The following is a 15,883-nucleotide window of genomic DNA, read 5'->3' on the forward strand; positions in this document are numbered from 1 at the left end:
ATGGAGGAAAAAGGAGCATAGAGGCAAGAGGGGCTCAAAATTGTATGTAAGTTCTGTTCACATTCCTTTAACCAGAAACAAAGCACAAGGATATACCAAACAGGAAGGGAGCCTGGAAATATAGTCTACCAGTGTACCCAGGAAAAAAAGAAACAGATTTGGAGAATAACTGGCCAATGTTTCCTACAATCAGCAAATACAAAAAAAAAAAAAATCCCTGACCTTTAGGAACTTACATTCTGTCTGGCGGAAACAAATGACTAGAAAGAGGCATAATAAATTATAAATTGCATAATCTATTATAAAATAATAGCTACAATTGGGGGGTGCAAAGAAAGCTCAGAGCAAGGTAAAAGGGAGAGGTATCTTTTGACAATAGCTATAGGTGGCTGTGGCAGGGTAGAAGATGGATCACTGTTGAAGAGTCAATCAAAGGAATGAGAGGCCAATTATTGGAGGAATCATCTTTGCCAATAATGGGATAATGTTGGAGAGAGTGATGGTGATCCAGAAGCTAAAATCGGAGCGAAGTGGGGGCTTGGGGTTGTCCCATGAGTAAGCTGATAACAGTAATAGAGAAAAGCAGTGGGTGTCGTGGAATTTGGAATTTTACAGGAAAGAAAAAGAATGATCTGAAAGCAGCAATGAGGAGAGAAGACAATGCCTACTCCCAACTTCAGGTCCAGCTATGAAAGAGTTGTGGAATTAAAAGCAGCCACCACTTCAGAGGGCTGCAGAGAAGGAATGCCCTCTTGTGAGAGACCAGTTCCCCCTAGAAAGCATTCTTATAGAAAGAATGTCAATGATATCAGGATTTTAGGAAATCTGGCACTTTCTGTGGTGACCGGTATGAACAGAGATAAGTGGCATACTGAGATTTGTCCTGGTGGAGTCAGGCTGAAATGGTGGCAAGCCTACAAGTGTCCAGGACATTAAGGAGTGAGGATTGGCAACTCACTCTTGACCCCTGCTAAAAAATCAAGGTAGATAGAAGGCTTAGGATTAGGTTTTCTTAAACTCAGTTCTTGACTTCAATCTGGACCTCTTTCAAGAAGGGGGAGTTTATGCCAAACACAGTGTCTATTTCTATACTCAGAGAAGCTAGAGATTACTCTGGATGAACAGATAAAGTCACAGGGGTGTGTGGTCTTGATCTAGAATGTGGCCACTTTTTGACTTCCAATGATCACTACCAGCCAGCCATCACATACAACTCTTTGAAACCTTTAAAAAATATTTTAAAAGATATGCTATTTGTTTTACTATTTCATTTTTATCACATAATGAACCCAAATATTCCCATTACCTCTCCAATAAGTCATATTGGGCCTGAGTATCACTTCAGTTTTTCACATATAATGCCTTTCCAAACCTATAACATATCTTTCCAGGGCTCTCAAAAACAGGGAGAAAAATAGATTCTAAAGAAAGCATGTTAGCATAAGCAACTCCCCAAATTTTCAGCTCTTCCTTCACATGCTCTTCCTTGACACAGCATTCAGCTAGTCATCCAACAGGGAATTGTGAGCAGCTATTGTACTGGGAACTGCAGTAGGCAATTGTTTGTAAAACAAAAGCTACACAAAGTTTTTTTTTTTTTTTTTTTTTTTGAAACAGAGTGTCGCTCTGTCACCCAGGCTGGAGGGTGGTGGCGTGATCTCGGCTCACTGCAACTGAGAGACAGGACTAGCTGGATTTCCTAGGCCAACTAAGAATCCCTAAGCCTAGCTGGGAAGGTGACCGCATCCACCTTTAAACACGGGGCTTGCAACTTAGCTCACGCCCAACCAATCAGAGCGCTCACTAAAATTCTAATTAGGCAAAAACAGGAGGTAAAGAAATAGCCAATCATCTATTGCCTGAGAGCACAGTGGGAGGGACAAGGATCGGGATATAAACCCAGGCATTCGAGCCAGCAATGGCTACCCCCTTTGGACCCCCTCCCTTTGTATGGGAGCTCTGTTTTCACTCTATTTCACTCTATTAAATCTTGCAACTGCACTCTTCTGGTCCATGTTTGTTACGGCTCGAGCTGAGCTTTCGCTCGCCATCCACCACAGCTGTTTGCCGCCCTCGCAGACCCGCTGCTGACTCCCATCCCTCCAGATCCAGCAGGGTGTCCGCTGTGCTCCTGATCCAGCGAGGGGCCCATTGCCACTCCTGATCTGGGCTAAAGGCTTGCCATTGTTCCTGCACGGCTAAGTGCCTGGGTTCATCCTAATCGAGCTAAACACTGGTCACTGGACTCCACGGTTCTCTTCCGTGACCCACGGCTTCTAATAGAGCTATAACACTCACCGCATGGCCCAAGATTCCATTCCTTGGAATCCGTGAGGCCAAGAACCCCAGGTCAGAGAACACGAGGCTTGCCACCATCTTGGAAGCGGCCCACCACCATCTTGGAAGTGGCTCGCCACCATCTTGGGTGCTCTGTGAGCAAGGACCCCCCAGTAACACAACCTCTGCCTCCCAGGTTCAAGTGATTCTCCTGCCTCAGCCTCCTGAGTAGCTGGGATTACAGGTGCATACCACTACAACGGCTGATATTTGTATTTTTAGTAGAGACAGGGTTTCACCATGTTGGCTGGGCTGGTCTCGAGCTCCTGACCTCAGGTGATCCACCTGCCTCGGTCTCCCAAAGTGCTGGGATTACAGGCATGAACCACCATGCCTGGCATACAAAGATTTTTTTAAATAAAATGTTGTCATTCTCCTTGAGGAGCTAACTCATAGTTGGGAGCATGTGGAGATATGATTACAGTTCAAGGTGTTAAAACGAAAATATGTACCAAATGCACTGGAGGAATTGTGAAAAGAATGATTAACTTGCCTGGGAGGAGTTGAGAGACTTCTCACAGGAGGTTTCATTTAAACTGGAACTGAAAGTATGAGTAGGCATTTTCTAGATGGAAAATGAGAAGACAAGCATTCAGTCAGAGGTACAAATGCACACACAGAAGTGCAGAGCAATCTGCATGACAGAGTTATGTATATCTCTATAACAGATTTAGGGGCTATAAAGAATCCCCGTATGTCTGGAATGGTGGGTGCATGCCGAAAAGTATCAGGAGACTTTAGACAGTCAAGGCCAAAGCCTTGAGCAATGAAGTAAAAAACTGACAATGGAAATCATCACAGACTGTTTTAGGCAGGGGGGTTACGGGATCAGGTTTGTATTTCAGTAGATAACTCAACTTTATAGTGGAGAGTTGATTACAAGGCACAAAACTCCAGGCAGGTAGACCAGTAGAGAAAGGACTATAATACTTAGATGAGACACGAGGGCCTGAAGGAAGGCATCTCTCAAAGGAGTCACACCATTTTCCTTTGACTAAATTTAACCTACAATTCAAAGAGATCATTTGTTTGGAAACCAAATTTTCTAAACTATTTCATATTCCATTTTAGTGCTTTAAATTAAAACTAATTTTAAATCCATCTTTGATGAAACTCCAGTCACGATTCCCCTTCTGAAGTCTAAAGGTACACAAAAATACATTTCTTACTGATATAAACATAGAATCACAGATTCTCAGGGCTTGAAAGTTTTACTTCACTTGGTTCACCATCCATCTGATGTTGGAAGCCTTTCTAAGCTCTCCTTGCCAAGCCATCTTCTGGACCAGGCTTGATCATCTCCAGGAATGAAGTATCTAGTGAGGTGGTGAAGGTGTGGGTTCTGAAACTAAGCAGACCTAGATTTGAGTTCCTATTTCATTGCTTCTACTTGTGTGAACTTTGGCGAGTTAGTTAACTTTTTTCTCAAAGCTTCATAATCTGTAAAATGAATGTAATATTATTTAACTCATAGAGTTATACGAAGGAAATAATGCATGCACAGCCTTCAAACATGTTTTATAATGTTATCATTATTTTTAGTCATGTCATTATTATTATTAGTTTCCAAGGCATTCATCTTCTAATGCTGGACAGCTACCTTAGAAAAGTCTTCATTCTGCCAGTTCATAGAAAAATATGGTTTCATAATATAATTTAGCAAAACGAAGTCAGTATTTCCTTAGCTGTAATTCACCATAAAATTTGGAGGAAACTCTTTGAAAAGGATTTGCACAATCTCATCGATATCTTCTCAGGATTTCAAGACATCATTTCAAAAGTGTAAACAGAGAAATAGTTGAAATATTGAATCTATAAAGCCCTGTCAGTAATATCTGTCTCATAATACTCATATAAACTAAAGAGATGTGAACAAACGTAATCTGTTACCTGACATCACTCCTGGGCAATGACTCAAATGGCAAATTTAATTACAGTAGCACTCACAGTAAACATTCCCTGACTTCAGAGCTTTCTGTTGACAGAGGCACTCTAGACAATAAACAGAATCTTAACCAAAAAAGGATTTTATGAAGCTTTTCTTAAATTCACAACAGCTTTCCATGCTACCTGAGTTAATTACATCATTCAAACACATTGTCGGTGAATGTTTTTGTCAAGATACTCCGAGCGTTTGATAATAGAAGTAAGATAACAGAATCAAGATTTCAGGAGCTACAATAAAATAACTTCTAATCGGTGTGGATGCCACCTGCCATAACTAGTAAATCCTGATATATGTAAATGAACCTCTTTTTTCACATAAATTAACCAATTCTTTTTTAAAATGTCTTTTATGTTATAGTGCAGTGAAAAACGTCAACAATCTTAAAAATCACATAACCCTTTCTTCACATTTAAGAATATGTACTAAGAATGCATAATTTTACACTGAGAAAATTTTGCCCAGAACATATTCTCAGAAAATGTTTGAAATGTCATTATTAGTTATCAGGAATTTTTTAAGATAATATTCTTTAAGAATGTCATTGTTGGCTGGGCGTGGTGGGTCACGCCTATAATACCAGCACTTTGGGAGGCTGAGGCAGGCGAATCACCTGAGGTCAGGAGTTGGAGACCAGCCTGGCCGACATGATGAAACCCCTGTCTCTACTAAAAATACAAAAATTAGCCAGATATGGTGGCAGGCACCTGCAATCCCGGCTACTCAGGAGGCTGAGGCAGGAGAATCGCTTGGACCCGGGAGGCAGAGGTTGCAGTAAGCCGAGATGTCGCCACTGCACTCCAGCCTGGAGACAGAGGGAAACTCCATCTCAAAAAAAAAAAAAAAAAAAAAAAAAAAAAGAGTGGCATTCTTTTGACTTAAGATAATCATAATCTACTCTTGGATGGATAATTAGAACTGTGTGCATTGGTGAATTGAAGAGGGAAACAAAAAAACTCATTGGAAGACAATCAACAATAAAAATGAAGGGAGTGATGTACATAAGATCTGACAAAAGAAAATCAGAACTGACCATATTGAAATTATTTGAGATGGTAGCTACAAACATGGAGCAAGAAAAACCTTTGGAAATAACTATTTAAACCACCTAAAATTTCCCACCAAAGATCCACCAAAGAAAATATGGCAATGAGGCTGAGATCTGAAAGATAATTTGGCTGTTGGGGTGGTGAGAGAGGAAGAGAGAGCCACAGGCAGCCAGGATATCGTGACTTTTCAGCTTACTTGTAAGCAGTTAAATTGGTTTACAAATTATTCTATATAATGTTAACTAAACTTATTCTCAGAAAATGCACAAGTGTCTTAAAAATACTCCTATAAATAAATTAAACATTAAAGACAGTGTAATAATGATGCAAGCACCAGCAAACAATCAGAAAACAAGGAAGCTAACCCTCCTGTTAGGAAATGTTCCTCAATGGCCATATTGGGAATTGAAAGCAATGAGTCCAATGAGCCCTTTAAACTTTTTGAAATTATGGAGACTATAAAATAAATTTACATGAACTTTCATTTATGATGAATGCACTGCCCTAATTTTATTTCTTAAAATATTGTCTAATGTGCTTCAGAAGCCATAACTAGAAATATGACATTTTAAAATATTTTCATGCCATCTTCATCTCAGCCTTTTCAATTTCTATTTCTCCGTTTATTTTATAATATATTAGGTACTTCATATAGTAAGCCTGGTACTTAAACACTAGGACCATAGTACATGTATATTGTTAACGAATAAATAAATATTGGTGATGCAGTGAATACACATTTTCACTGAAAGCTGAATGGTAGAATTGATATTTACCCAAAGCCAAGTATTATCATCCTGGAGAGAACACCTGGAATTAGAATAAACAAGGCTGGGCACGGTGGCTCATGCCTGTAATCCCAGCACTTTGGGAGGCCGAGGCGGGTGGATCACCTGAGGTCAGGAGTTCAAGACCAGCCTGGCCAACATGGCAAAACCCTGTCTCTACTAAAAATACAAAAATTAGCCGGGAGAATCACTTGATCCCAAGTGGTGGAGGTTGCAGTGAGTGGAGATTGCACCACTGCACTCCAGCCTGGGTGACAGAGTGACTGTGTATCAAAAACAAACAAAAAAAGAATACATTAAATTTTATGAAAAATATTTATTTCAGATCATTAAAAATTCTAGTGCTTCCTTTTCTAAATTTTTATATTATTGTCTGAACATAATTTCTCTGCACTGTCATCTCTAGATTATTTCGGCAATCACTGTTTATAGATTCTGGCCCATTTAAAAATGTCTCTAGGCTGGCACAGTGGCTCACACCTGTAATCTTAGCACTTTGGGAGGCCAAGGTGGGCAGATCGCTTGAGCCTAGGAGTTCAAGACCAGCCTGGGGAACATGATGAGACCCCATCTATACAAAAAATACAAAACTAAGCCAGGTATGGTGTCATGCACTGGTAGTCCCAGCTACTTGGGAGGCTGAGGTGGGAAGATGGCTTGAACCCGGGAGGCAAAGATTTCAGTGAGCCAAAATCGTGCCACTGCACTCTAGCCTAGGCAACAGAGCAAGACCCTATCTCAAAAAAATAATAATAAAATAAAAATAAATAAATAAAATAAAAAAGTCTCTAAATGTCTCCATGCACAGAAGAATATTATTCAGAAAACAACTTTTAGTAGCATATTTCCTAGAGATAATTTTATAAAACATCCATAGCTTGAGCAAATCTTACAAATCTTTCATCATCAACTACTGAAAGTAGCTGGCAGCTATAGCAATCATAAGTTTTCTATTGAAATTTTAACTGCCATAGCCACAAAACTTTAGGAACTTTTCTTTATAAATTGTTATAAAATCTGTTATTTCAAAGTTTAATTAGTAAGTACAAAATATGTTTGGGGTAATCCATTCTTCTCCTAACATAGCTCTTCATATTCTTATAACAGTTTGAGTTGAAAATAATTTATCATTGATGTATATCATTTTGTAGGATTTTCTTTCCTGTAAATTTTGAGAAGATAAGTTTGGCATCCTTCTGTTATTTCATTCTCACTGGATGTGCAGGATTCTCAAAGAAACATTACAACAGTTTGACAACTCTTTTTTTTTTAATAAGGCAAGTACACCAAAAGAGTCTACAAATATTTTAATTATGATATAATCTAATATATATTATGGCGTTTAAGATTTAAGATTAACATTGTCATAAAAAATAAGTTGATCTTCCCAAATTTATGTAATATTCTCATTTAATATACATATTAATGGCTACTCCATATCTCTATTTAGCCCTTTGACAGTCTGTAATAATATAAAATAAAACAAAATTAAAGCTTTTACAATCATTATTTTACTTCTAGCATAATATGCTACAGCCATAATGGCCTTTAATCTATGTAAAACCAGGACTGCTACAAGAAGTGAAAGGTACAAGATCATGTCAGTTTTTTCCTTTCAACAAATATATAGTCAACTGCAATTTTAAAACATCTGACAATGGAAACTGTAAAAGTGAAACAGCTAACAGTTCTTTCATAGTGCATGACAAGAGTGATTTATAAAAGCCATGCCAAAGACAAAGGATTTGCAAAAATAATAAATGTGCTTTCCATTTCTCAATAAATCATAGTGTACAGTATTTAAACTGTCAGTACTCAAATCATGCAGTCTTCCATAAAAGAAAATGTACTCTTCCTCCTAGCTCTGTTTGGGAAAGAAATGTCTGCAGATCAGAATGTGGGCTTGAATCAATGTCAACATTTATTCAATCTCAGTGACTCCAAAAGGCTGTTGAGGAACGTTTTTTCTCCTCCTTGCCAGGAAACATATTCTTTGATCATCGCTAATATCAAAGCCTAAGCCTAAATCCAAAGGGAAAACAAAATAGTGATTTTAAAGGACTTACTGTTCTCAAACTTTGAGAATACCTCAACCAAAGAGAGCTTTTCAAATCATATCACCTTAATTTATCTTGACTCCTTATATTTGCCCAGTGATCAGTTTTTTAAAAAACCATTATAACATTAAAATTAAAGGCTGAATAAGTGAAAAGGTAAGACAAAAACCTAATGCAAAATCTCCAAAGTTAACTTTGAAAAGAAGTAAAGGCTGCAGATCTGGAATCCAGAGAACAAGGGAGACTGATATAAAGTGAAATCAGGAATAAGCAGTGGCTAGATTATACAGAGGTCTGTAAACTATGGTAAGAAGCTTGGATTTTATCCTAGGTTAATAAAGCCATGGGAGAGTGTTTTTAAAACAGAAAAGATATAATCATGATTTTAAACCATCACTCTGACCACAAAACATCCATCAGCACAGCTAAAATTACAAATAGTGACAACAGTAAATGTTGACAAGGGTATAGAGCAACCAGAATTCTCTGACATTGCTTGTATAAACGTAAATGGATAAAATCACTTTGAAAACTACTTTACGGTACCTACTAAAGCTGAACATAGGTATACCCCATGGCCCAGCAATTCTCTCCTACATATATTTCCAGTAGAAATGTGTACATATGTTCAATAACAAGATACTTAATAGAATGCTTGTTATACCATTATTCAAATAGCATCAAACTGAAAACTACCCCAAATGCTCATCAACGGTGCAATAAAGTGTATCATATTCACACAATGAAGCACTATATGTACAGCCATCAGAATTAATCATTTACAACTAAACAAAACAGGATGACTCGCACAAGTATCATCGAGCAAAAGCCAGTTACAAAAGAATGCTTTGAATGAATCCATTTAAATTTTTAAAAAACAGGCAAAGCTAACCCATATTTGTAAGAGACAGGATAAGGGTTACCCTCAGTATGGGTAGGGAGCAGCCAGTGACTGGAAGGTAGTTTGTGGGGGAAGAGAAGCATTAAACACATTTTCTTGGTGGCAGAGGGATGGATGAGGAAGAGATAGGGATTCTTTTTTTTTTTTTTATACTTTAAGTTTTAGGGTACATGTGCACAATGTGCAGGTTAGTTACATATCTATACATGTGCCATGCTGGTGTACTGCACCCATTAACTCGTCATTTAGCATTATGTGTATTTCCTAATGCTATCCCTCTCCCCTCCCCCCACCCCACAACAGTCACCAGAGTGTGATGTTCCCCTTCCTGTGTCCGTGTGTTCTCATTGTTCAATTCCCACCTATGAGTGAGAATATGCGGTGTTTGGTTTTTTGTCCTTGCGATAGTTTACTGAGAATGATGATTTCCAGTTTCATCCATGTCCCTACAAAGGACATGAACTCATCATTTTTTATGGCTGCATAGTATTCCATGGTGTATATGTGCCACATTTTCTTAATCCAGTCTATCATTGTTGGACATTTGGGTTGGTTCCAAGTCTTTGCTATTGTGAATAGTGCCGCAATAAACATACGTGTGCATGTGTCTTTATAGCAGCATGATTTATAGTCCTTTGGGTATATACCCAGTAATGGGATGGCTGGGTCAAATGGTATTTCTAGTTCTAGATCCCTGAGGAATCACCACACTGACTTTCACGATGGTTGAACTAGTTTACAGTCCCACCAACAGTGTAAAAGTGTTCCTATTTCTCCACATCCTCTCCAGCATCTGTTGTTTCCTGACTTTTTAATGATTGCCATTCTAACTAGTGTGAGATGGTATCTCATTGTGGTTTTGATTTGCATTTCTCTGATGGCCAGTGATGGTGAGCATTTTTTCATGTGTTTTTTGGCTGCATAAATGTCTTCTGAGAAGTGTCTGTTCATGTCCTTCACCCACTTTTTGATGGGGTTGTTTTTTCTTGTAAATTTGTTTGAGTTCATTGTAGATTCTGGATATTAGCCCTTGGTCAGATGAGTTGGTTGCGAAAATTTTCTCCCATTTTGTAGGTTGCCTGTTCACTCTGATGGTAGTTTCTTTTGCTGTGCAGAAGCTCTTTAGTTTAATTAGATCCCATTTGTCAATTTTGGCTTTTGTTGCCATTGCTTTTGGTGTTTTAGACATGAAGTCCTTGCCCAAGCCTATGTCCTGAATGGTAATGCCTAGGTTTTCTTCTAGGGTTTTTATGGTTTTAGGTCTAATGTTTAAGTCTTTATCCATCTTGAATTAATTTTTGTATAAGGTGTAAGGAAGGGATCCAGTTTCAGCTTTCCACATATGGGTAGCCAGTCTTCCCAGCACCATTTATTAAATAGGGAATCCTTTCCCCATTGCTTGTTTTTCTCAGGTTTGTCAAAGATCAGATAGTTGTAGATATGAGGTGTTATTTCTGAGGGCTCTGTTCTGTTCCATTGATCTATATCTCTGTTTTGGTACCAGTACCATGCTGTTTTGGTTACTGTAGTCTGGTAGTATAGTTTGAAGTCAGGCAGCATGATGCCTCCAGCTTTGTTCTTTTGGCTTAGGATTGACTTGGCAATGCGGGCTCTTTTTTGGTTCCATATGAACTTTAAAGTAGTTTTTTCCAATTCTGTGAAGAAAGGCATTGGTAGCTTGATGGGAATGCTATTGAATCTATAAATTACCTTGGGCAGTATGGCCATTTTCACGATATTGATTCTTCCTACCCATGAGCATGGAATGTTCTTCCATTTGTTTGTATCCTCTTTTATTTCCTTGAGCAGTGGTTTGTAGTTCTCCTTGAAGAGGTCCTTCACATCCCTTGTAAGTTGGTTTCCTAGGTATTTTATTCTCTTTGAAGCAATTGTGAATGGGAGTTCACTCATGATTTGGCTCTCTGTTTGTCTGTTATTCGTGTATAAGAATGCTTGTGATTTTTGTACATTGATTTTGTATCCTGAGACTTTGCTGAAGTTGCTTATCAGCTTAAGGAGATTTTGGGCTGAGACAATGGTGTTTTCTAGATATACAATCATGTCGTCTGCAAACAGGGACAATTTGACTTCCTCTTTTCCTAATTGAATACCCTTTATTTCCTTCTCCTGCCTGATTGCCCTGGCCAGAACTTCCAACACTGTGTTGAATAGGAGTGGTAAGAGAGGGCATCCCTGTCTTGTGCCAGTTTTCAAAGGGAATGCTTCCAGTTTTTGCCCATTCAGTGTGATATTGGCTGTGGGTTTGTCAGATAGCTCTTATTATGTTGAGATACGTCTCATCAATACCTAATTTATTGAGAGTTTTTAGCATGAAGGGTTGTTGAATTTTGTCAAAGGCCTTTTCTGCATCTATTGAGATAATCATGTGGTTTTTGTCTTTGGTTCTGTTTATATGCTGGATTACATTTATTGATTTGCGTATATTGAACCTGCCTTGCATCCCAGGGATGAAGCCCACTTGATCATGGTGGATAAGCTTTTTGATGTGTTGCTGGATTCGGTTTGCCAGTATTTTATTGAGGATTTTTGCATCAATGTTCATCAAGGATATTGGTCTAAAATTCTCTTTTTTGGTTGTGTCTCTGCCCGGCTTTGGTATCAGGATGATGCTGGCCTTATAAAATGAGTTAGCGAGGATTCCCTCTTTTTCTATTGATTGGAATAGTTTCAGAAGGAATGGTACCACTTCCTCCTTGTACCTCTGGTAGAATTCGGCTGTGAATCCATCTGGTCCTGGACTCTTTTTGGTTGGTAAGCTATTGATTATTGCCACAATTTCAGAGCCTGTTATTGGTCTATTCAGAGATTCAACTTCTTCCTGGTTTAGTCTTGGGAGTGTGTATATGTCAAGGAATTTATCCATTTCTTCTAGATTTTCTAGTTTATTTGCGTAGAGGTGTTTGTAGTATTCTCTGATGGTAGTTTGTATTTCTGTGGGATCAGTGGTGATATCCCCTTTATCATTTTTTATTGTGTCTATTTGATTCTTTGCTCTTTTCTTCTTTATTAGTCTTGCTAGTGCTCCATCAATTTTGTTGATCCTTTCGAAAAACCACCTCCTGGATTCATTAATTTTTTGAAGGGTTTTTTGTGTCTCTATTTCCTTCAGTTCTGCTCTGATTTTAGTTATCTCTTGCCTTCTGCTAACTTTTGAATGTGTTTGCTCTTGCTTCTCTAGTTCTTTTAATTGTGATATTAGGGTGTCAATTTTGGATCTTTCCTGCTTTCTCTTGTGGGCATTTAGTGCTATAAATTTCCCTCTACACACTGCTTTAAATGTGTCCCAGAGAGTCTGGTATGTTGTACCTTTGTTCTCGTTGGTTTCAAGGAACATCTTTATTTCTGCCTTCATTTCATTATGTACCCAGTAGTCATTCAGGAGCAGGTTGTTCAGTTTCCATGTAGTTAAGTGGTTTTGAGTGAGTTTCTTAATCCTGAGTTCTAGTTTGATTGCACTGTGGTCTGAGAGATAGTTTGTTATCATTTCTGTTCTTTTCCATTTGCTGAGGAGAGCTTTCCTTCCAACTATGTGGTCAATTTTGGAATAGGTGTGGTGCAGTGCTGAAAAAAATGTATATTCTGTTGATTTGGGGTGGAGAGTTCTGTAGATGTCTATTAGGTCTGCTTGGTGCAGAGCTGAGTTCAATTCCTGGGTATCCTTGTTAACTTTCTGTCTCGTTGATCTGTCTAATGTTGACAGTGGGGTGTTAAAGTCTCCCATTATTATTGTGTGGGAGTCTAAGTCTCTTTGTAGGTCACTCAGGACTTGCTTTATGAAAGTGGATGCTCCTGTATTGGGTGCATATATATTTAGGATAGTTAGCTCTTCTTGTTGAATTGATCCCTTTACCATTAGGTAATGCCCTTCTTTGTCTCTTTTGATCTTTGTTGGTTTAAAGTGTTTTATCAGAGACTAGGATTGCAACCCCTGCCTTTTTTTGTTTTCCATTTGCTTGGTAGATCTTCCTCCCTCCTTTTATTTTGAGCCTGTGTGTGTCTCTGCACGTGAGATGGGTTTCCTGAATACAGCACACTGATGGGTCTTGACTCTTTATCCAATTTGCCAGTCTGTGTCTTTTCATTGGAGCATTTAGTCCATTTACATTTAAAGTTAATATTGTTATATGTGAATTTGATCCTGTCATTTTGATGTTAGCTGGTTATTTTGCTCGTTAGTTGATGCAGTTTCTTCCTAGCCTCGATGGTCTTTACAATTTGGCATGATTTTGCAGTGGCTGGTACTGGTTGTTCCTTTCCATGTTTAGTGCTTCCTTCAGGAGCTCTTTTAGGGCAGGTCTGGTGGTGACAAAATCTCTCAGCATTTGCTTGTCTGTAAAGTATTTTATTTCTCCTTCACTTATGAAGCTTAGTTTGGCTGGATATGAACTTCTGGGTTGAAAATTCTTTTCTTTAAGAATGTTGAATATTGGCCCCCACTCTCTTCTGGCTTGTAGAGTTTCTGCCGAGAGATCTGCTGTTAGTCTGATGGGCTTCCCTTTGTGGGTAACCCGACCTTTCTCTCTGGCTGCCCTTAACATTTTTTCCTTCATTTCAACTTTGGTGACTCTGACAATTATGTCTTGGAGTTGCTCTTCTTGAGGAGTATCTTTGTGGCGTTCTCTGTATTTCCTGAATCTGAATGTTGGCCTGCCTTGCTAGATTGGGGAAGTTCTCCTGGATAATATACTGCAGAGTGTTTTCCAACTTGGTTCCATTCTCCCCGTCACTTTCAGGTACACCAATCAGACGTAGATTTGGTCTTTTCACATAGTCCCACATTTCTTGGAGGCTTTGTTCGTTTCTTTTTATTCTTTTTTCTCTAAACTTCCCTTCTCGCTTCATTTCACTCATTTCATATTCCATCACTGATACCCTTTCTTCCAGTTGATCGCATCGGCTCCTGAGGCTTCTGCATTCTTCACGTAGTTCTCGAGCCTTGGCTTTCAGCTCCATCAGCTCCTTTAAGCACTTCTCTGTATTGGTTATTCTAGTTATACATTCGTCTAAATTTTTTTCAAAGTTTTCAACTTCTTTGCCTTTGGTTCAAATTTCCTCCTGTAGCTCGGAGTAGTTTGTTCGTCTGAAGCCTTCTTCTCTCAACTCGTCAAAGTCATTCTCCATCCAGCTTTGTTCCGTTGCTGGTGAGGAACTGCATTCCTTTGGAGGAGGAGAGGCGCTCTGCTTTTTAGAGTTTCCAGTTTTTCTGCTCTGTTCTTTCCCCATCTTTGTGGTTTTATCTACTTTTGGTCTTTGATGATGGTGACGTACAGATGGGTTTTTGGTGTGGATGTCCTTTCTGTTTGTTAGTTTTCCTTCTAACAGACAGGACCCTCAGCTGCAGGTCTGTTGGAGTTTGCTAGAGGTCCACTCCAGACCCTGTTTGCCTGGGTACCAGCAGCGGTGGCTGCAGAACAGCGGATTTTTGTGAACCGCAAATGCTGCTGTCTGATTGTTCCTCTGGAAGTTTTGTCTCAGAGGAGTACCCGGCCATGTGAGGTGTCAGTCTGCCCCTACTGGGGGGTGCCTCCCAGTTAGGCTGCTCGGGGGTCAGGGATCAGGGACCCACTTGAGGAGGCAGTCTGCCCGTTCTTGACTGGTGATGTGTACACGAAAAGCACAGAATCAAAGAGTCCTACTTTGCAGCCATCCATTACAATCTGCCTTCGATACATCTGGTTGAACCACTGGTGATGAGAAACACAATTTATAAGGGAGACTGTTCTTTTTTGGAAGAAAAAAAAAGAATCTAATGACTCACATGCTATTTATTAGAGTCAAGATTTTTTCTAGTTATTCTTTCTGAAACATGAAACAATCCACTTGAATTTCCAGTAAAAGTTCTTCCAGGAATTGAACACAGCAAACTTACTTTGCCCTTAGTTTTTTTCCCAGGTTAAACAACTCAGCTCCTTAATCCACTCTTCGTAGAAATTATCACAGACTGACCCATCACCATCACTACCCTGATAAGCTTTCATTTGCTAATATTACTAAGAAAAAGAAGAAAGAGACAGGGAGTGACTTGGATCAGACATGTAGACACAGAATACAAAATTTATGGAATTGTGAGTTCAGGGAGTCTCAGAGCTCAGTGATTTGAATGAAATGCAAGAGATTTCAAGGGTGGTTCAAGGTAGCTTCCAGACCTTCTGCTTGACATTCTTATTCTAATTCACTTACTTGTTTTCACATAGGCCATTAATTCTCTCTCATCTACAAGCCTTCCTTCATGTGTCACAACTATGTTCTCCCTCCATTGAACCATAACAAACCTTGGTCAGAACCTTAGGCTAAACTTCTCCTGTTTTAAATCAATTCATTTCCCATATCTATCTACCTGCCATACTTTTGACCCTACACCTTCTAATACTGTAATTTTTAAGTTATATTTCATATAAAACTGGTAAACTTCTTAGTCATCAATATTTCGAAATAATTAACAATGAACATTAAAAAGAAAAGAAAGAAGACAGGAAATAATGGAGGGAAAGATTTCAGCAATTTTACATTCCAAATATATATGATTTAATACCATATGCTATGCATAATATAAATTATATAATATATATTTATTATACATCCTATGAAACAGGAAATAAGTAAATTATATTAGATTTTAAATATTTCTTTCTAGTTTCTCAAGATGTAGTTTCATGCATGTAACTGGAAAAGGCTTCAGTGTTAGTTATTTATCTGATAATACGTCCTTAAAGTTCTCAAGTTTATATTTGAGTCCAAACTTCTATAAAGCTAGGAAGCTGATCCTAGTGAGAGTGAATTTGCCA

The 15,883-nt window shown here is 38.6% G+C and overlaps 1 protein-coding gene across 1 annotated transcript in view, besides 1 other annotated feature; it reads right to left on the reverse strand.

Moving 5' to 3' along the window:
- PDE1A (phosphodiesterase 1A) overlaps nucleotides 1-15,883 on the reverse strand; it is a 576,757-nt gene that overhangs the window by 410,812 nt on the left and 150,062 nt on the right. The gene's annotated exons all lie outside the window — the stretch shown is intronic.
- Nucleotides 2,796-3,005: an enhancer, noted in NCBI's record as "active region_16835". NCBI's record gives its function as "activates an Ori minimal core promoter by ATAC-STARR-seq in GM12878 lymphoblastoid cells {active_cell/tissue: GM12878}" and the evidence as "EXISTENCE:reporter gene assay evidence [ECO:0000049][PMID:35858748]".

This window comes from Homo sapiens, chromosome 2 (genome assembly GCF_000001405.40).
Source record: "Homo sapiens chromosome 2, GRCh38.p14 Primary Assembly".
Classification (NCBI taxonomy): Eukaryota; Metazoa; Chordata; class Mammalia; order Primates; family Hominidae; genus Homo; species Homo sapiens.